The sequence below is a fragment of the Homo sapiens genome, chromosome 6 (assembly GCF_000001405.40).
Source record: "Homo sapiens chromosome 6, GRCh38.p14 Primary Assembly".
Lineage (NCBI taxonomy): Eukaryota > Metazoa > Chordata > Mammalia > Primates > Hominidae > Homo > Homo sapiens.
Window position 1 is genome coordinate 45,189,461 of NC_000006.12, and position 22,464 is coordinate 45,211,924.

Below are 22,464 nucleotides of genomic sequence, written 5' to 3' on the forward strand. Positions count from 1 at the left end.
CTTATTAAAAAACCAACCCTCAAGGAAGTTCATGAGCCAATCCTATTCATTTGACCAAATCTATAGAGGAAACCATAAGATGGGGTCTGAATAAGGAGAACTGTAATCGTTATTTATTTGAAAAGGTAAAGTAGGATTTCTGTGTCAATCCCCAAGGCCAAAAGACCACCCAAAGACATTTTCACTGGTCAAAGCTTAGAAAAATCAAAGAGGAAGTCCTCACCACCAAAGAAAACAACACTCTTTCCAGTAAAATTTATTTGTGAAACAAACTAAGAGCCTTACCTTTGAGACCCCTTTTTTACAGAGGAATAGCACAATTGATTTTATTTTTATTGGAAAGCCATTAATAACCCCACGTTCCTTGATGTCCCAAGTTATATGTAACACAATTGGCCACTTTTAATAAGCATAGGATTGGAAACAGTTTCTGAAAAGTTACCACAGAAAAATCCCTTTAAAAGCACAGCAAAATTTAAACTTTTTAATGTATCTTCCCTTTGGAACTAGGCCAAGGGAATGTCCCACTGCATGCAGATCTAGGGCATCATTTATTTCATGAATGTTCTGCACAACAATATTCTGGAAGCTTTAATATATGTTCCAGAGGAACAGATTCCATTGTCAAAGACTTCAACTGTTGCGTTAAACTAATGAATTAGGTTTCTTTACTATAAAACTTGTTAAAGCTTTAATATGCATTGCAACTCTCCAAGTGATAATATATAGCATGAAATATTTCCCAAAAAATGGGACTAAGAAATAAAAATGTTATGGTTAAAAAAGAAATCTATACATATCTTGAAAAAGATTCAAATTCCATGAAATACAGTTTGAGAAATAGTATTTTAACTGCAAACTAAAATGGATTAGGAATTCTCATTGGCCCAAAGAAATCAGTGGTTTCAATGCAAAGCTTCCCAAAGCAACACACACCAAGAATAAGATAAACCAAAAACCTAACATTTAATTTTTACAAATGTTTTTCCATATGTAAACTCTGTATACGGGCCAATTCTTTGTGCTGAAACTTATGTGAAAAAAAAATGATGGAAGACTTTGTTGGGTTATTCTCATTTAAACTATTAAATTGAGTTGTGAGGAGACCCATCAGGTAGAATGAAAATAGATTTTGAAAACGTAGATAGTTTATAAGGGAAGATTTTAAAAATAAATGTTTTAAAAGAATAAAAAGACAAGCCATAGACCATCTTTGTAAAACACTTATTTGATCAAGGACTGGTAACCAAAATATACAAAGAACCCTTAAAATTCAAAAGTAAGAAAATAAGAATCTCAAACATGGGCCCGAAGATCTGAACAGACACCTCACCCAAGAACATACACACATAGCAAATAAGCACAGGAAAAGATGCTCAACATATGTCATTATGTTTCAAATAAGACAACAATGAGTTACAACTATGGCTAAAACCCAAAACACTAACAATACCATATGCTGACAAAGGTGTGGAGCAACAGGAACTCTCATTCACTGCTGGTGGGAATGTAAAATGATTTGCCACTTTGGAAAATAATTTGATAGTGTCTTATAAAACTAAACATATTCTTACTATATGATCCAGCAATCAAATACCTTGGTATTTACTCAAAGGTTTGAGTAAAAAACTTATGTCCACATATAAACCTACACACAAATGTTTATAGTGGCTTTATTTATAATTGCCAAAACTAGTAAGCAACCAAGATGTCCTTCAATAGGCAAATGGATAAACTGTGGTATATCCATATAATGAAAAATTATGCAACAATAAAAAGATATGAGCTACCAAGCCATGAAAAGACATGGAAGAACCTTAGATGTGCACTGCCAAGTAATAGAAGTCAATCTGAAAAGGCTACATCATATATGATTCCAACTATATGAAATTCTGAAAAAGGCAGAACTATGTAGACAATAAAAAGATCAGTGTTTGCCAGAAATTCAGAGGGAAGGAGGGAGGAATAGGTGGAGCACGCGGGATTTTTAAGGCAATGGAACTATTCTGTGTAGTAATATAATGGTGGATAAATGTCATTATACATTTGTCCAAACCCACAGAATGTGAAACACCAAGAGTGAATCCTAAACTATGAACTTTAGTTAATAATAACATATCAATATTGGCTCAACAAATATAATTGAAACTGTAGGGAGGGTGGCAGGTAGGAACTCTGTACTTTCAGCTCAATTCTTCTGTAAACATTAACTGCTCTAAAAAATACAGTCTACAAAAATAAGATAAATGTGGGCACTTTAAGAGAGAAAAAGTTAGCTACATTCAAATTTTACAAAAACGTTTATCAAATCACCAATTCCACATTAAGACCAACAACAACGTATTTATGTCATCTCCCTAGCAAAAGCAGAGAAGATATTATTTACTATCCCAGCACTTCCAGTGTCTGTGGCTTAAATAATTCAGGTCATGAGACTAAAAAATATTAATATACCTCATTTCTTAAATTTATATAATCAAACTTTATACCCAATACAAGTCTTCAACATTTTATTTCAGTCTCCTCATATTCACTTACTTTACTGAGTAAACTGATGTCAGAGAAACTGCTATGTCGAAAAGGGCAACATTAGTTCACTGAAAGCTCTGCCACAGAAATAAGTTTTTCGTATCTGTTAGTCCAGTACTCCCATTCTCTAAATCCCTTCAATTTAGATTTCTAGGAGTTGGTATTCCCAGTATACTTCTAATATCTTTTACAGGCAGTTAACTGAATTCTCTTAGTCATCTGATGAAAGGAGAAGTCAAGTTTCCCATGCTGGCATTATGGAACTGGCTGTAATATAGATTTTGCAAGGGGAAAAAATCAGTTTATAGGGAAATACAATGTCTTCTGTTTATATAACATTTTGACTTATTAAAACGAAACTGTTTGAAAAAGCAAAAATCTGATTAAGCACAAGAATTATATTCTTTGAAATGAGAATGGTTAACTTGGGATCAGATGAAAATGAAACTTGATTACTTCAAAAAAATACATTTTAATTTATTTCAGCTTTAATTTTATGTTTTTAAAGAGTATGTTTATAACCCAAATAAGTCAGCCTAACAAGGATGAATAATTAGGTAATTTTTGGTGTTTCTCTTTAAATTGTATTAATAAGCTATTTAAATAAAGTGTTCTTAATCTTAGATCTAATGAAAGAACAACTTTGCACACTTTATAAGCCTTTATCATATAACAAAGCAAAGATTCCTTACTTAATATTTCGAATCAAAGCAAAGTGGTTAACTCTGAGAATAAAAGGCACAGAGAACTTAATAACTCATTGATTATGACTCATCACACCACACTAAAGCAGATCCCTACTGCAGAGAATTTAGCTACAACAAATAAAGAAAATCAGAAATATAAAATTCCATAAGATTTAAGACACAAAAATAATAACTCTGACTTCTAGTATTATAGATATGAGAAATGCAAAATTGTAAGAAAATGTATCCGACTCTTTTGCTCTTTGAACCATTTTCTAAAAAGGTTTTGTTATGACCAGCCCGCCCAAATTTTCTACATTTGATGAAGCTACTTACTGTAGAAACCAGGACAAAAACAGAAACAGCACCCATAGAGTTCCAAAGAATTCTCTTTGACAATGTTTTTCAAACTAAGTAAGATTCGTTAAGGGACCATGACCACCACGCTTTAAGAAATAAATATTAGAGTGTATGTATGTAAAGTAGGAATAAATGTTCTTTGAAACTCTCGATTCAGAATAACACATGTACACCAAAAAAACCCCACTTATATCCATTTATATATAAGTTTGTGTACACTGGTTCCTAATGTAAAATCTACTATTTATAAATAGGCCATGATCAGAAAAGTTTAATGTCCTAAATAAGCTTTAAAATTTAGTTCCAAATTTTAAAAGGGATTGTTTTTCATTAAGAATCTTTGACTTTTTAAAATCAAAGCTATTTTAATATTTCAAGATTATGTCAAGAAAAAGCTTCTGTAATGTCAAATTAAATATTAAGATGCTGTATCAAATTCACTTTTAAATCTCCAGGGCCAAGCAGAGTCAGTGTTCAATAAATACTCCTTCATTGAACAAAGTTGAGTAAAATAATGTATTCCTCAAAAAATTAGCTGGGCATGGTGACGGGCACCTGTAATCCCAGCTACTTGGGAGGCTGAGGCAGGAGAATCGCTTGAACCCGGGAGGCAGGGTCTGCAGTGAGCTGAGATCGTGTCATTGCACTCCAGCCTGAGCAACAAGAGCAAAACTCCATCTCAAATAATAAAAATAAAAATAATGTATTCTTGTTAGCTTTCTTAGAAAAGTTCAATCAGTAGAGTCACACCAGGTTGTAACGTACATTAGGGATTAAATCCCAAAGATTGCAATACAGAATTCTTAGAGTGAGCCCTCATACAGATAATTAACATTAGTTCTGTAAACTAACATACAGCTTTTGAAATTTTAAGTATTTTATCTATTTAAAATGTGTCTTAGTTTAAACACACATTGAACAGAGTATATATCTGTTCCACATTAGAAATTTAAACTGTCCAGTTATACACTTGGGTCTTCAGCTTCCTTTTCCAGTGGGTTCATTCATTAGAAATTAAAGACAACTTTTTGTTGATCATTATTAGCAGGCCTTTACACGGTCTATGTGGTTATTTCACAACTGACATACTTTTACAACCAACAGGATTCTGTCAAACTTTACATTTTATGGTATGCATTTAAAAAATAAAATTTACATTTTTTCCATCATCCAAATAAGAAAATCATCTTATCTTTATTAACTATATTTCAAACACAACACATGTATCCCTGGTTTCACAAGAATCATGCTATATAGAATCTGGTTGAGAAGAAAAAAAAATCAACTCAAAATGATACTTTAAAGTGTTGTTTGTGGTGTGGAGGAAGAAGAAAAACCACCTCTATTATATATCTACAAATATAAATTTTGTTTTACTAAACCTATTGTTTACAACAAAATACAGAAATCATAAGTTTAAAGAATACTATTCAAGTGCTTGTTGTATTGGTGATAACTGTTTTCTACCAAAAAAGAGCAGAGTAAAATTATCATTCAATCTTCTATGACTAAATTGGTTGAAGTAAAAATGATTTATTTTCTAATGCCTTCATAAGCACATGCTGCAAAACATTTTAGTGAAATACACACACATATGTATACAATCAAAAGAAGTTCTCTAAAGTGGCATCAAGGTTAATAAAAATACATTAATTCTAATAAAAAATACACTACGGTTATAATGCAACAAAAAGAATGTCATTGCAATAGAAAAAAAATTAAACTGAACCTGCTGTGATATTTTTCTTACAGTCATTTAAATCAATACAATTTAAACCCAATCTCATCCTAAGTAGTATTCATCTAATCTCAGAATGCTTAGCAATTTTATTCCAAAAGAAGCTGACTACTATACTTTAGACAAATTTATCTGTTTCTAGGATACCAAATCATAAAAGGCAAAACTAAAATGCTTTAACTACTGTGAAAAGACCTATAAATTGCAGTGTAATGTTTTTCAGTTGAAATCTGTGAATCTAATTCTTGAGAGTTTGCAAATTTTCTGTAATATTTCTTGTATAATTAAATTTTTATGTCAATAAAAAACAATGAATTGGCACAAAAAATTGGCTTTTTGTGGCAGGATAATGGAAAAGAAAGAAGGGACGTGAAATGAGGCTAGCTTAATACAAAATAATGGCCAAGTGATGCTATGATATATTATACAATGGTTTCATAATAACTGGAACAGAGAAAAGTCACAGGAAATTGTGTTTGTTATCTTACAGAAAAAGAGAGCAATGATCAGAGCTTTCCAACCCATGCCCTTAGGAACAAAAGCCACCAACTAGGTACAGGTGTGTAGGTTTTAATGCTCTCAGCCTATGGAATGCCTGACTGGTGGGACCAGAGGCATTTAGGAACCCCTGAATTGTCTGCTGTCAAGAACAACCTTGTGCTTCTATATCCAGTGGCCCTATGAATATTATCATTTTTCACTTGTGCCATAATGTCAAAAGAATTGCAAAGCACTGGGAAGATGTAACAAACTTTTAGAACACAGTAGTCATATTAAGAAAGGGAATTTATTTTCAGGAGTTAAAAGTCTGTCATATCAAATTAAGGTTATTATTTTGATTGTGATATGATCGATTTGTTTTTCATTTCTGATTGTTTTTGACTTAGTAGTTTCAATAGATTTAAATGCAATGAAGAATTGCTATCTAGATTTTTATATTTGTTCATATTTCAGTAACATCAGCAGAAAAATACTTGAAGTTAAAACTAGGGTACATATTATTTCTTTTCCTCTTTTAATAGTATCTGCCCCAAACATAAGGTGAAAAACAATTGGATTCATGAGTCTTTAGTTTGAATCTCACTGAGGTCGGTAGTTACAAACTTTCTGATCCCGGGCAAGTTACTTACATCAGTTTTCTTATTTGTAAGATGGGAATAATGATCATTCTTACCCAAGGAAGGAGAAGATTCAACGCCTATGAAGTGTATATGCCAGTAGCTGGCATATAGTAACAAATATTTACAGGTTAGAAAAGTGAGCTGACACTAGCACGCTAAAAATATATTTCACATCTATCAAAATATACTTTTAGTTTAATTTATCCAATCTACCATAGATAATACACAATAGATATCTGACTTTATATCTGTGACAATATTCAATCATTTTAAAAGGGGGTAGGGGGCAGATATATTGCTTTAGAAGTACTCCTACCATTCTAAAAATACTGTCCCGCAGCTGTTTAAAATTTATTTTTTTAGACCATAGCACCACTGTTTGGTTGTTTCCAATTTCTAAAACCACAAATAGTAAAAGTGTACTCAGTCTACTGCAAACATAAATAGCAAATGCACGCTTCAGCACTTTTTAAAGGATATGGAAATTGGCAACAAAAATGCAGTTCATGTTGAAAATTTACGACAGCCCTGCCATATTTCTTCAGAAATACAATCAGGTAAAAATTAGGAAGATCTCTACCAGCTGGGTGGTATTTTTGTGTTTTTATACTTATATTTTCACTAACTGAAAGACTTTCATTATGCAATTTCTGGCACTTGATAAAATAGAGCAATAGTACCTTTGCTAAAACCACAGTTTCTTTGGTTATGTTTAGCATTACACAAACATCTTTCACCTTAGATATCCTTTTGCATTAGAGTGTTTAATTTTAAATTGACTGAAGGGAATAACTTTTTTCAGAATATTATGCTTTCTGGATATCACTAAGCACAAGAATTGTATTTTCATGATTTCTCAAAGATCATGTGTATGTGTTTCAATTATTAGGCATTTGGTTCCATAAAAAGTGTGACAACTACTGATAAAAGATGAGAATACAAAAATGATTCAAGAAAACATGGAGAAGATTGACTTACAGTGTTGCTATATTATTTTTTTAAAACCCTGTCTTTATAAAATACGTAAAAAGCCACAACATGGATTTACCATCTCTTCCTTGGTAAAGATACATCTAAAATAACACATCCTCAGCTTCTGAGGAGAAGAAAAAAAAATCCCTGGTACAAAAGGTTAACATAAAAAATAGTATGCTAAATTCAACAGTGGAGGAAGAAGTTTCGTTTTAAGACATAATTCTTCAATACTCATTTCTCATTTTAATATTAAAATTGCTACTACATATTTAAATTGGTTTTAAGTATCAGAAATAGGAATAAAGATTATTTTTTAATATTTTGATGCATCCAATAAAATTGTGTTCAATTAACACTGAATGAACAAATAATCAAGTAAATGGAGAGAAAATGTCACTTGATCATTTCAGATTTTTTCATGAAATTTTTAAAATAAATGACTCAAAAACTCATGAACAATAGTTCATACTATGATCTAATAACTTAAATGATTTGAAAGAAAAATAAATCTACCAAGGAATTTTTAAGTGGCTCCTGTTTTACATGGTGTTTCTTCTTTACATACATTGTTACTAAGTGCATTTAACCAATAAACATTTTTCAAAGATCAGTTAAATTATGCTATTTGGTTGGATGAATACTTCATATATCCTCTATAATACATGCTTTTTAAAACTAATTAAAAAATAAGAATTCAAATTGAAATATGCAATGTAACAAAATTAAGGTAAACTATGAGAAAGACAAAAGTTTTGTGGTATTTGCAGAAAAAAATTGACAATACTATTTTTTCATTTACATAAAATAAGAAGATAAAGAGTGAAAAACCATTATGCATTGTATTTTTAGGGCCCACATGTATTGGGACCTAAAAATACAATGCATAATGGTTTTACCCCATGTCTTTTAATAAGAATTTGACTTTGTTAGATAATTGCTTTTCTTTGAATTTACAAAGTGTAAAGTGAGTCTAACTGCCATATTAATCACCAAAAAAACCCAAATTACATACAACGTAAGAAACTTAAAGCTGTATTTCTCATCTGCAATTAGCATCTATTCAGACTGTAAACTTACAAAAGCATTCAGATTTCTTCTTACTCTGAATACTGTTTAATAACCCAAACTTGATAATGTTCCATCACTGCATTTCTAGAAATAAAAAAATCTCTCAAAGTTCTCAACTTATCTTTTGGTCTGCTGAACAAGATATTATCTGAAATGTTATATGCTTTGAATACCCATTTTTACTTTAAAATGATACTTAATCATATCTTCTTAAGAGCTGGTCTAATCAATATGAAAGCCAGGCAGGAACAAAAAAATATTTTAAAAATAGCTTTTCAAAATAGGAATACATATTCTAGTGATGCAGTTTTCTGATTTGAAACAGGATCACTTTTACAAATACTGAGTGTCATTTTGTATTCAACAGCAGCAGAAAAAAAAGGTATAAATGTCTACCTCATTTGCTATAATGTAAGTTCTTAGATGGAAATACTGAATTAAACACTGGTGGCTTATGGAACACACAAGCCTTGCAATTTAAAACTAGAAACCTTCCTCCTAATACTTTGTTATATCTTTAGGTTAAAATATTTGTTTTCTTAATTAACCATAAGAAAACAAAGAAAAAGAAAAGAATCAGTCCCAATACATTAATTTGCTGAAATTTTCACTTGTGAAAACAAATCAAGTTTCAGAACTTGGGAATAGCATATAACAATGAATCAATGTCTCATCTGTAACAACGACACAGTTAAAATAACTTCTTGATATAAGTTAATTTTTAAGAAAATTAGTTTGATCCAGGGTTATTTATAACAGGTAACATGAGTGGTTTTTGACTAAGCTGCTATATCTTTCCTTGAGTTACTCTGAGTTAAGTCACACTACCTGAAGTTACATTTGGAACACCAACATCTTAATTATTATCATGAAATAGCTACCTATTATTTTTAAGTAAATGTACTAACTTCTAATCATATCTGTTATTTTAAGCTTTGAATAATATGAAACTAAATCATGTAATTAAGGATATAGAAAAATGCAACAGAATAGCTTTATAACAGACCAATTACAACACTTTATTTCCCATACTGTTACTTAACAAATATCTGTGCTATTTTATAACATTTTAAAATCTTAAGACTAGAAATAATTACATCTTTTACTAGTGCTTATAAGGGCTGTTGTCATCTTTAAAGACACAACATCTTTAAAATTAGAAATGCATACAATTTTATATTTCAAAATGTATTAACTCAAAGACAATAAAATACACCTATTTCTTAAGATCTATTTTAAAATACTGTTGTTGCATTGGATTAAATGTATATATGTGATTAATGAATGCTTCCAATATAAAGATTTAAGTCTATTTTTCCTTGCCAGAAAAAAACAACTCAGCTTAATTTTTAACTATTTTATTATACCCTTCAGAACTTAAAATTATATACAAATAATGTAACCTGAGACCTGCTCTGGTCATCTGAGGAATTACAATTAGAGCATGAATCTCCACAATTCTGCAGCACCTTAAGTAATTTTATAAAAAAAAGTATTTTTTGCATATTTCTTTAACTCCATTAAGATCATTTCCTGGGCTTCTTACAGTGAAAAAAAAAAGTCATTTGTTTTAGAATAAAGAATACAGCAAAAATACTTCGTCATCCAAAAGACTATTTTTCCTACACTATGGTCAGGCAACCAACCCCACTAAATATAGAAGACTGACATTTGTAGGTAATTCAATAGTCAGATGATAATTCTTCAGTAGTTTCACAGTAGCATAATTTTTCACATTACTTGAAACCACTGTTAAACCTATAACACATTTTCTGTTTCTCTGTGGGTATTTTTTTCTGTCTTTAACCCTAAAAGGAATATGTTTCATCTGACAGCAGTACAAAAGCCATTCATAATTCAGAAATGTTTTCCTTTTTTGCAATCAATACATGACTTTGAACTCAGGTTTTTCAAAGATTAGTTAAACATTATGTTTCTTTAAGTCTAGAGCCTTATTTATGTGAGTCTGTGGCTTAACTGACAAGAATTTTTCTGTTCCAAGGAAAGTCAGTCAGTTTGTATCTGAAATACTATAATCTAGCTTCCGTCCATATAAACATCTGCAAAGACTCACTCAGTCAAATGTTATACACCCCATCAACCAAATCAGAGACTGTAAGAATCATTATTCTGTGCGACAGATAAAAATCTTCTGTGCAATAGAGAAAAATGAAAAGCAAAATGATGAAAGAAAAACATTTATAATTTTGAAAATTAATTAGTAACAATACTCAGTGTAAATATTTGTTAACATTTCTTATTCAATTCTACAAATGTTTAATAAAATCCTAAAATGTAAACATAATGAGTGCTGTATTTATATGTTCTCTAATTGTATTATCATACAAAATATTGTTTGTATAACTGCCATATATATTTTGTCTATTTCTAGTAAGTTACCATTAAATGAAAGTTAAATTGTTCAATGTTGAATGAAAGCAAGTATGACTTATTACATTAATAAAAAATTAACCCATGATCAAAATGTCTAAAGTATATCCCATTTTGATGCACATTTTAAAAATATTAACAAACTTAACAAGATCCTAAAGCCTCATATTTTTTAGGTGCAGCTGGTAAAAAAACTAACAGATATCATATGCTAATAGTACTTATGATGTGCAAAGTACTGTTTGTAAGCACTTTACATTTTTGAACCTTCTTAATGCTCAGAACACCTTTCACTTTAGAGACAATAAAAAATGAAGCTCATAGGGGTTAAGCAGCTTACCAGAAGTCACACAGTTATTAAGTGACAGTTTGGTTCCAAAGTCCATTCTCTTTAGGCCTACCCTGAAAAGCATCACTGTAATATAAGATTTTTTTTTAATTTGAAAGAAGAAAACTGTGGTATTCACTGACATAATGCCTAGAACAAATATGTCAAATATTCTTATTTGAGGATGCTACCATAAACTTTATATAAATTACATACTGGTAATAAATGTACCTTATTTGTAATCATTTTCATTCAAAGTAACAAAATCAAAGTTTCTCTCTTGTCAATTTGAATTAAACAGTCATGTGTACAAATATACACATAAGCACCTATGTATTACTTCCTTATGGGAACAATACGAAGATTTCAATATAAACGAATTTACTAAAATCAAGCATAAAAATATTTTCTGATGATTAGTAACTTACATAATAATTAAGTATACATGTTAACTTGCATTTCATTAACCAAAATTTTAATATTTAAGCTTAAGTGAATGATACGGGTAACATAATCATTCATTTTATTTGTAATGTGAACTAAAAGTTACCCTTTCAACTGTCTTATTTTTTAAAGTTCAGTGTAATCCTAGAGTTTAACATATGAATTGGTAAATGCAAATAATCTCATACTGCAACTTGCCAACTTAAAATGCAAGAATTCATTTCTAATTGGTTGGTTTATTGCTCACTCAGAAAATTTTTATTTCTTTTTCAGTGAATACTGTTTCACATTTGGTAAAATACAGGAAGTCACACCACCAATGGAATGCGATTATCTATAATGAGAGTTAGTTATTCCATATTCCCATTTTTAAAAATAAATTAATATATCAACACACTCTGTAAAATTTATATAAACTTAAAAATACTAGTGAGCTGAAAGTGGAAAAAAACATAATCGGAATAATTTCATAACATGCATAATCATTCTTCACAGAATTTTTATTACCCAGTATGGAATGGATTATAGTAAATGTACTTCACACATGCTGTTTCTTATTCAAAAGGAAACACAGAATAGGACAGAGAGAACTTCCAGCCAAATCTTCATTCTAATCCAACAGTCATGGACGCCACTGTAATTGAAAGACATTTCCAAACAGATAGCTGTGGACCCCATTTTCCTTTAAAATAATATGTCTTTCACATCTGTTCCAACTAAAACATGTGTGTTCTTAAAATTTACCAAACTACCTTATGCTTAGTTTTTAAAATATTAACAGTTTTATATTGTTCTGCTTAATTTGCAACTAGTTAAGCCCATAAAATGTACATTTTCAAATTATGTTAACATGTTAAAAAGTAGTAGAATATGCACGACTAATCAACATTTTACATCTGTGATTTCCAAAGTTAGGAAACCTCAATTGTTTTTCACTGACTCAAGCAACTTCTTAAAATGGTACAAATCATATATTTTGCCATTATAATATTAAGGTGACTTCATTTTATTTTCACTTTGAATATCTTCCAAAATAAGAAATCCAGCTCTCAAAATCAGGCATCAAAAGCAATACTATTAACTCTTTTGACATACCCAATAATTGGAAATTAAAAATAAATCATGCAATATTTAGACATTATCTGTCATAAGAATCTTTTAATAATGATGATACCTTCCTTGGAACGTTTACAAAATTATAAAATTGCAGATAATTATGAAACGGTTTAAAAAAAATTTCACATCCAGAATATAAAAATAAAATAGTATAAAAGAAAGAAGAGCAGAAAACAGAAAAAGGAAAACAATGAAGGCCTTACATACTTGTTAAAGTCAAAACTACTGCAACAAAAATTTAGGATTACTTTTTATATAACAGTATCTTCAAAAGCATTTACAAAGTTAATAAAAACTTAATCAGATTGCTTTTACCCAATGATCTTTTGTATAACGTAGTCAAATATCCCATTTAGAAGTTTGCCTAAATAATTGTATCCATAAACTTTTCCTAGTCATTAGCGTCAAAAAATACCTTGTACATTATTACTACTCGTACTATCAAAATCTCTATTTTGAAATATCATTGTCATTCCATTTGGAGCATTAACCTAGAACGGACAAAAAATGTTTATCAATATTATAAATCTGACATTTATAAATAATATACAATTCTATTTAATGAACTAAAGAGCAAATTGATTTAACAGAGGTAGTTAGTACTTACACATTTTACACTGACTTTCAGGTGCAGATATTCATAATGTAGAAATAAATGATAATATAAATTGAAGAAATCCTACAAATGTATGTGTGTGTGTGTATATATATATAAATCACTAGAGATCAATTACAGAGCAGCATCAAATACAAGACAGTAAGATATAGATTATACACAAATACTGATAAAATATAAGGTAAAGATAACATAATCAAGGATGAGAATATTGATGAAAGACTCCATGAAGGAAGTCTTGCACCACAGTTTGGAGGAAGATCTCGAAATAAAATAAAATACAGGTTTTATAAAGCAGTCATTTAAGTGGATAGAGAATACAGGGCATGGAGTAAATGGCGAGGAACACAGGCACTGAGGAGACAGAAAACACCATGTAAAGACAACATGCAAAACAACCGAAATAAAGGAGGTGCAGTCCATAAAGTTTATAAACGGCATTAACATTTACCCAACTGTTCAGGTCAAAATCTAAGCTGTCATCAATGATACTTTCCTCTGCCCTACACTCTGTACCTAAATGATCACCAATTCCTGTTAATTCTACCTCTTAAGTATATCCTGAGTTGTCTTTAGTTCCCCAGCAGCACCACCTGTTATTCAGACTATCTCTCATCTGAACTATTTTTGTAAACTCCAAGGCAGTCTTACTGCATCCCCTTGCCCTCAATTTCACTTCTCCCTCACTTGAAACCTTTTCTGCATATTTCTGCCCAGGATGATCTGTTTGAAATGCAAATCAGGTCACTTTATGCCCTCACTAAAAAACCTTTCAGTGGATTACCAATACTGTCAAAATAATGTCCGGAATCTTTAACACGACATGTGTTGCTGTGGTCCTAATCTATCTTACCAGTTTTACTTTGTACCTCTCCAGCCTCATGCAGAGCCTTCTGCCCCAGCCATGAAGGACTTCTCTCAGTTTTTCATACAACCTATTTGTGCACTTTCTCTCTCATCTCCAGGCAAGATCAATTGTAACTTTTCCAAGAAAGCCCCCCTTGACCATCCCTCTTATGAAACATGACAGACTACACTAAGTCTACTTAAACTCTGAACTACTAATACTTCTCTGTCACAGCTTTTAAATGGCAGCTTTCTATAATAAATTATTAGTTCCGTTAAGAAGGGCCACCCAAACACAGTGGCTCACGCCTATAATCCCAGCACTTTGGGAGGCCGAAGCTGGAGGATCACTTGAGGTTAGGAGTTCAAGACCAGCTGGCCAACATTGTGAAACCCCATCTCTACTAAAAATACAAAAATTCGCCGGGTGTGGTGGTGCATGCCTATAGTCCCAGCTACTCGGGAGGCTGAGGCAGGAGAATAGCTTGAACCCAGGAGGTGGAGGTTGCAGTGAGCCGAGATTGAGCCACTGCATTCCAGTCTGGGTGACAGAGCAAGATTCCGTCTCAAAAAAGAAGAAGAAGAAGAAGAAGAAGAAGAAGAACCACCTGTATCTCTTTTGTATTCTATACATCTTCAGAGCCAGGTAAGAGTCTAAAATAATAAACATTTGATAACTGCTAAGGTGAGAAGAAACAACAAAAGATACAGCCATGCAGAAGATACACAGGTTATCACAGACAAGCAGTTCACCAAATACTGGATCTACGAGGAACACTTATAAAGAATCTACTTTGGTGATTTCTGACTATACTCATCAGAGCCTTTGGGTTCAAGGAGGACAAGAGTCAGGAAGATGCTCGTTCCTTCCACATATATTCTCCACCTCTGCATCAAACAGATCTGCTTCAATCTTATGTGTTTTTAACATATCGAGTCATCACATAACATTTCATTTGGGGGGAAAAGTTTGAAAACCTCTATGCTGAAAAATTTCCAAATCTTGATGCAGTCCTTCCATTCAAATACAATCCTTTCCTGGAATCACTCCCAGGCTACTGACTGACAGAAACCACCCCTAATAACTCAGGCTGAAACCCAAAATCACCTTAATTTTTGATTCCTTGACTCCTCCATATCTAATCAATCACCAGATCCTATTATTATTCCTTTCTTACATTAACCCATTTTTCTCATTCTCACTATTGTCAGTTTAAAACAGATTCAGACCCTTCTTATTCCTGAAATTACTATACCAAGTAATTTTACTTCCTAACTTGCTTGCTTAACTCCAATCTCCCCTTCATTAAATATGCCCATGTTGGGCTCAACTTTCTCATGCAGTACTTTCATTTTAACTATAGAAATAATATCTCGTAGATTCCAGTTTTATACTGTACTATAAAGCAAAACCAAATTCCCATCTCTGACTTTTGAAATCCTCTTTCTATAACCTGCCCAAACTAGCTACTCAACCTATTAGATTTCCTTCTCCTTCTATCAGATTGGTTTTTTAGTTTTCTCAAAAGTACATTGGAATCATTTAAGCAGGATATTTTACACTTCTATCTACAGATGCAAAGTAGTATGCCCTAAGTTACTGAAGACCATCAGACATAACATAGAAGGACTCCATGTTGCCAGTTTTCCGAGTTTGCACTATTGGAATGATCTTTATTTATTCCCACATTTTCTATAGTTTCCACCTCCATTAGGTCATGGCATACCATTCCACAATTACATAATATAAAATTCCTGAAATTCTGATAAACTTTATATAATGTATAGCTTACAAAATGCAATTCATAGATAAGAAAAGGAAGCTCAAAAAAGCAATGGTTGCGGGTGGTGGCTCATGCTGTAATCTCAGCACTTTGGGAGGCCGAGGATGGCGGATCACTTGAGGTCAGGAGTTTGAGACCAGCCTAGCCAACATGGTGAAACCCCATCTCTACTAAAAATACAAAAATGACCTGGGCATGGTGGCAAGTGCCTGTAATCCTAGCTACCCGGGAGGCTGAGGCAGGAGAATTGCTTGAACCTGGGAGGCAGAGGCTGCAGTGAGCCAAGATTGCGCCACTCTACTCCAGCCTGGGTGACACAGCAAGACTCTGTCTCAAAAAAAACAAAACAAAAAAAAAAACCAGTAAGCAATGTGTTCAAAGTTACACCACTAAGTTAATGGCAGTGCTGAAAACAGACTACCAGTTGAGATCAGCTCACTGCCTTTTTCTTATGATCAGCTACAATTATTTTCACAGAAGGCCTTAAAATTCAACAATTATGAGAAATAATTCTAGAGTCACAGTGCTGGAGTTTGAAAATAGGTCACAACACTTACTTGAAAATAAAATTTGACATTCCATTATATTAATTTTTAGCTATGTATCTATGCAGTATGTAAGACTCATTCATTTAACCAGCATTTAGCAAGCACCTACCATGTGTGAGAGATACAATACTGAACAAAACTGACTAAAATACATTTATGAAGAACATGTGTTAGTAAGGAAGAATAATATATGAATAAATGAATATGTAAATTAGATATTTACAGTGTCACACAGAGATAAGGCTATGAAGAAAAATTAGGTAGAAATGGCAAGTAGAGAAGGGAAAGACTGCTATTTCAAATATGGCGATCAATGAGGTCTTCAATGATGAGGAGACCTTTAAGCAGGAACATGAGGAAGAGAGTAAGAAGATATTTGAGGAAAGAATATTCTAGCAGAAGGTGAGGGCAAGAGCAGAAGAAACTGAGATCAGAAAAGTAGTGAAAAGTGAGGACACACAGCCCATCATAAAATATGTGACTTTTACTCTGAATAAAATGAGAAGCCATTAAAGAATTTCAAATTATAAAAGTAAAAAAAAAATCTAATTTAAATATTTAAAATTTCACTCAATATCACAGGAAGAATAAAACAAGGGGCAGGGGGTAGAAATGAAAAACAGGAGCAAAAGTAGTTGCAGAAAGACAGACCTATTACAAGAATAAAATCCAAGTAAAAGATAGTAATGACTAAGAGCAATGTGTAGCAGTGGAAAGAAATGTGGGCTGTGAGAGAGTTAAAGATAACTCCAAAGATTTTGACCTGCTGGAAGTAAAGAATTGCCAAATAGATTGCTGAGATGAGGGGGAGATGGCAGCAGGAGCATGTTTGAGGGAATATAAGGACCTGGTTTTGGCTACACTAAATTTGAGAAATCTACCAGACATTCAAGTGGAGAGAGAGGTATAGTACTGATTTCAATATGTGAACAAGGAGTTCAGAGGAAAGCTCTATGTGGAGTAGTCAGAAACAGTTGGGTATATGGTATTTAATATTGAAAACCACAGGACTGGATGAGATCAACTATAGGTTAAGTTTAGATAGAGAAGATAAGAAACAAAGGCTGAAACCTAGCACAATCCATTGTTCAGAGATCCAGAAGAAGAAAAGCAAACAACATCTAGGAGATGAGTAGAAACGACTTAGTGAAGTTAAACCTAAATAAATAAAAATAAACCAGAAGACTGAGGTGTTCTGGAAGTCAAGTGAATGAAGTCTTTTAAAGAGGAGGGTGAACAACTGTGTCAAATGCTATTGATAGGTCAAGGAAGATAAGGACTGAAAACTAGCCACTGGATTTAGCAATATAAAGGTCAGTGGTGAACCTGAGAAGAGCAGCTTTGGTGGAGTGATAAAAGGAAAAAGTCTGACTGAAGTAAATTTTAGAAAGAATGGGAGGATAAAAACTGGAGATAGGGAGAAAGCAATTCCTTTGAGAAATTATGCTAAAAAGGAAGCAAGGTAATGGGATGGTAAATAGAGACTAATGTATGATCTAGATGTTGTGTTTGTTGTTTAAGATGAGTAAAATTCATGCAAGTCTGTATGTCATTTGTGGCAAGTCTACTTGGTGCCATTTTTCAACAGCATGGGCTCATTTCATATCTCTGTGTCATGTTTTGATAATTCTCACAACATTTTAAACTCTTCACTAGTTTCGCACCTGTTATAGTGATCTGTGATCACTGATTTTTGATGCTACCACTGTAATTGTTTGGGGGCACCAAGAACCAGGCCCATATAAAATAGCAAATTTAATTGATACATATTGTGTATATTCTGACTACTCTACCACCTGGCTATTCTCCCATCTCACACCCTCTCCTGGAGCCTACCTATTCCTCAAGATGCAACAAAATTGGAATTTGGCCAGTCAATAACCCTACAATGGCCTCTAACTGTTCCAGTGAAAGTTAAAGTTTTACTTCTTCTACTTTAAATAAAAAGCTAGAAAGAATTAAGCTTAGTTAAGAAGATATGCCGAAAGTCAACACAGTCCAAAAGCTAAGCCTCTTGTGCCAAACAGTTAACCAAGTTGTGCATGAAAAGGGAAAGTTATTGGAGGAAATCAGAAGTGCTACTCCAGTGAATACAAGAATAAGAAAGCAAAACAACTTCATTGCTGATATGGAGAAAGTTTTAGTGGTCTGGGTAGATGATAATACCAGTTAGAACATTCCCATAAGCCAAAGCCTAATCTAGACCAAGGCATTAATTCTTCTCAATTCTATGAAGGCTGAGAAAGGTAAGGATTCAGAAGAAAAGTTAGAAACTGGCAGATGTTGGTTCATGAGGCTTAAGGAAATAAGCCATCTCCATAACATAAAAGTGCAAGGTGAAGGAGCAAACAATGATGTAGAAGCTGTAGCAACTTAACAAGAAGATCTAACTAAGATCACTGATGAAGATGGCTATACAAAAAAAGAGATTCTTGACTGGGCGTGATGCCCATGCCTGTAATCCCAGAACTTTGGGAGGCCAAGGCGGGCAGATCATAAGGTCAGGAGATTGAGACCATCCTGGCCAACATGGTGAAACCCTGTCCCTACTAAAGATACAAAAATTAGCCAGGTATGGTGGTGTGCACCTGTAGTCCCAGCTGTTCAGGACGCTGAGACAGGAGAATCGCTTGAACACAGGAGGTGGAGGTTGCAGTGAGTGAAGATCATACCACTGTACTCCAGCCTGGGCAACACAGCAAGACTCTGTCTCAAAAAAAAAAAAAACAAACAAAAAAATTCTCAGTGGAAACAAAACAACCTTCTACTGGAAGAAGATGCCATCTAAAACTCCCATAGCTGGAGAGGAGAAGTCAATTCAAAGCTTCAAAAGACAGGCTGACCCTCTTGTTAGGGGCTCATGAGGCTGATGACTTACCCTCTTGTTAGGGGCTCATGAGGCTGATGACTTTAAGTTGAAGCCAGTGTTCATTTACCATTCAGAAAAATGTCAGGCCCTTAAGAATTATACTAAATGTACTCTTCCTTTGCTCAGTAAATGAAATAACAAAGCCTGGATGACAGCATATCTACTTACAGCATGGTTCACTGAATAATTTAAGTCTACTGTTGAGACCTACTACTCAGAAAAAAGATTCCTTTCAAAATATTATTGCTCATTGACAATGTACCTGGTCACCCAAGAGCTCTGGTGGAGATATACGAGGAGATGAATGTTGTTTTCATGCCTGCTAGCACAACATCCATTCTGCAGCCCATGGATCAAGGAGTCAGCTCAACTTTCGAAATCTATTTCATGAGGCTACAGTTGCCACAGATAGTGATTCCTCTGACAGATGTGGGCAAAGTAAGTTGAAACCCTCTGGAAAGGAGTCACCATTCTAGATGCCACTAAGAACATTTGTGATTCATGGGAGAAGGTCAAAATATCAGCATCAATAGGAGTTTGGAAGAAGCTGATTTCAGCGCTCATGGATAACTTTTAGGGATTCAAAAATTCAGAGCAGGAAGTAACTGCTGATGTGGTAGAAACTGTAAGAGAATTAGAATTAGAAGTAGAGCCTGTTGTGTGACTAAAGTGCTGCAATCTCATGATCAAACTTGAAGCAATGAGGAGTTGCTTCTTATGGATGAGCAAAGAAAGTGGTTTCCTAAGATGAAATCTGTTCCTGGTGAAGATGTTGTGAACATTGTTGAAATGACTACAAATAATTTAGAATATTCCATAAACATAGTTGCTAAAGCAGATACAAGGTTTGAGAGAACTGAATCCAATTTTGAGAGAAGTTCTGCTGTGGGTAAAATGCTATTAAAGAGCATCATGTGCTATAGAGAAATCTTTTGTGAAAGCAAAAGCCAACTGGTGCAGCAAAGTTCATTGTTGTCTTATTTGAAGAAATTGCCTCAGCCACTCAAACTCAGCAGCTGTCAACATCAAGGCAAGATCCTCTGCCAGCAAAAAGACTATGACACATTGAAGGTTCAGACGATACCAGCAAAAAGACCATGACACACTGAAGGCTCAGATGATATCAGCAAAAAGACTATGACACATTGAAGGCTCATATGATCAAGACAGCATTTTATAAAAATAAAGTATTTTTGTAATTAAGGTATGTATACTGCTTTTTTTTAAAGACATAAGGCTACTGGAAAGGAAAATAAATCTCGGGACCCCAAAATCACTAAGCCAAAGGGAAAAGACAAGTTGGAGACTGTTAGGCAAATCTGCCATCCATTTTATTCCTAAATAAGACAGCTACAAAGATAAAAAGCTACATACTCACCTCACAATTTGCCCAGAAGGAAATTGCTTTTAGACAAAGGACAGACAGAACTCAAAGTCATACTTCTGTTCACCTAGGACAAATGCATATCTGATTGCTTTCTCTGCCCTATTGTTTCACTAAGCCTGACAAAGGCATAAGTGACTATTCCTCTACCCTCCTCTCACATATAAATTGTGTCTTCAGTAAAAGGCTAAGAGGCTCAAAAGAATGTAACCATTTTTCTCTTATCTACCTATAACCTGGAAGCCCCCTCTCCCACTTCAATAGGTTCTGCCTTTCTGGACAGAACTAATGTATATCTTACACATATTGATTGATATCTCATGTCTCCCTAAAATATGTAAAACCAAGCTGTGCTCTGACCACCTTGAGCACATGTCATCAGAACTTCCTGAGGCTGTCTCATGGGTGCATCCTTAACCTTGGCAAAATAAACTTTCTAAACTGATTGAGATCTGTCTCAGATACTTTTGCATTCACAGACACTTAATAAACTATAGTATAGGGTAAATGTAACTTTTATAAGCACCAGGCAATCAAAAAATTCATGAGACTGACTTCATTGCGGTGGTCTGGAACTAAACCCACAATATCTCAGAAGCATGTCTGTGCTTCCAGTCTTTCTCTTAAAGATCCAAGACCAGGTCCAAGTACAAGAATGGAAAAGAGAAGAAAAGGGAGCAAAAAGTAAAGTAAGCTCCCATCTGAACAAGCCTCTTTCAAGCACCAGTCCCAAAAGTTTTCCACCCAGTGACTTTCACTTTAACTGACCATTCCACAAAGGAGCATGGGAAAAGGTGTTTTTTATTAGACTCATTTTATTACACTTCCATTTTTTTTAAACAAAGAAGAAAAAAATTTTAATGAGTCAAAATTTCCCAACATAACTGTCTTTGAAAATAACAAGTATAAAAGTTACAAGCAAATACTTACATGGTTAAAAAATCTAATTTTTATAAATGTAAGTAAACTTTTATTTCTTAATGTTCTACAGTATCTCGATATCCATCTCTGTAAGGTGAAGTTGTAACAGTAAGGCTCCTACTCTCTCCCCTGCCCTTTCATGGTCCTCATACTTTATGTTTATTTTTATACTGTAAAGTTTATTAAGATTCATATTATCTCCCTTAAATACAAACAAGTCACTTATGTTTTGACCACAGAATGACTCTAAATTCTAAAAATCAATAAAAATGATTATTTTTATTATAATTATGTTCTGTGCTTTCCAAGTAGAGGACAACGAACACATCTCCTTCGGTATTTGTCCAATAACATGGTCTCTAGGCCAATTAAAAGAGAATTCTGGGCCAGGCGTGGTGGCTCGCACCTGTAATCCCAGCACTTTGGGAGACCGAGGCAGACAGATCACAAGGTAAAGAGATCGAGACCATCCTGGCCAACATGGTGAAACTCTGTCCCTACTAAAAATATAAAAATTAGGGGGGCGTGGTGGCATGTGCCTGTAATCCCAGCTACACGGGAGGCTGAAGCAGGAGAATCACTTGAATCCCGGAGGCGGACGTTGCAGTAAACTGAGATAGCACCACTGCACTCCAGCCTGGCGACACAGCAAGACTCCGTCTCAACTAAAAAAAAAAAAAGAGAGAGAGAATTCTTCAGCCAGGCACAGTGGCTCACATGTGTAATCCTAGCACTTTGGG

At 33.5% G+C, this 22,464-nt stretch overlaps 1 protein-coding gene and 1 non-coding gene across 29 annotated transcripts in view, besides 1 other annotated feature; both read right to left on the bottom strand.

The window, feature by feature from the left end:
• Positions 1–22,464, bottom strand: part of SUPT3H (SPT3 homolog, SAGA and STAGA complex component) — a 568,878-nt gene that overhangs the window by 380,404 nt on the left and 166,010 nt on the right. The window lies entirely within an intron of this gene.
• MIR586 (microRNA 586) lies at positions 8,214–8,310 on the bottom strand. Its single transcript, NR_030313.1, has one exon. It is a non-coding gene; the product is annotated as a microRNA 586 (primary transcript).
• Positions 20,379–20,579: a silencer, noted in NCBI's record as "peak5821 fragment used in MPRA reporter construct". NCBI's record gives its function as "represses an SCP1 promoter by STARR-seq MPRAs in K562 erythroleukemia cells {active_cell/tissue: K562}" and the evidence as "EXISTENCE:reporter gene assay evidence [ECO:0000049][PMID:32103011]".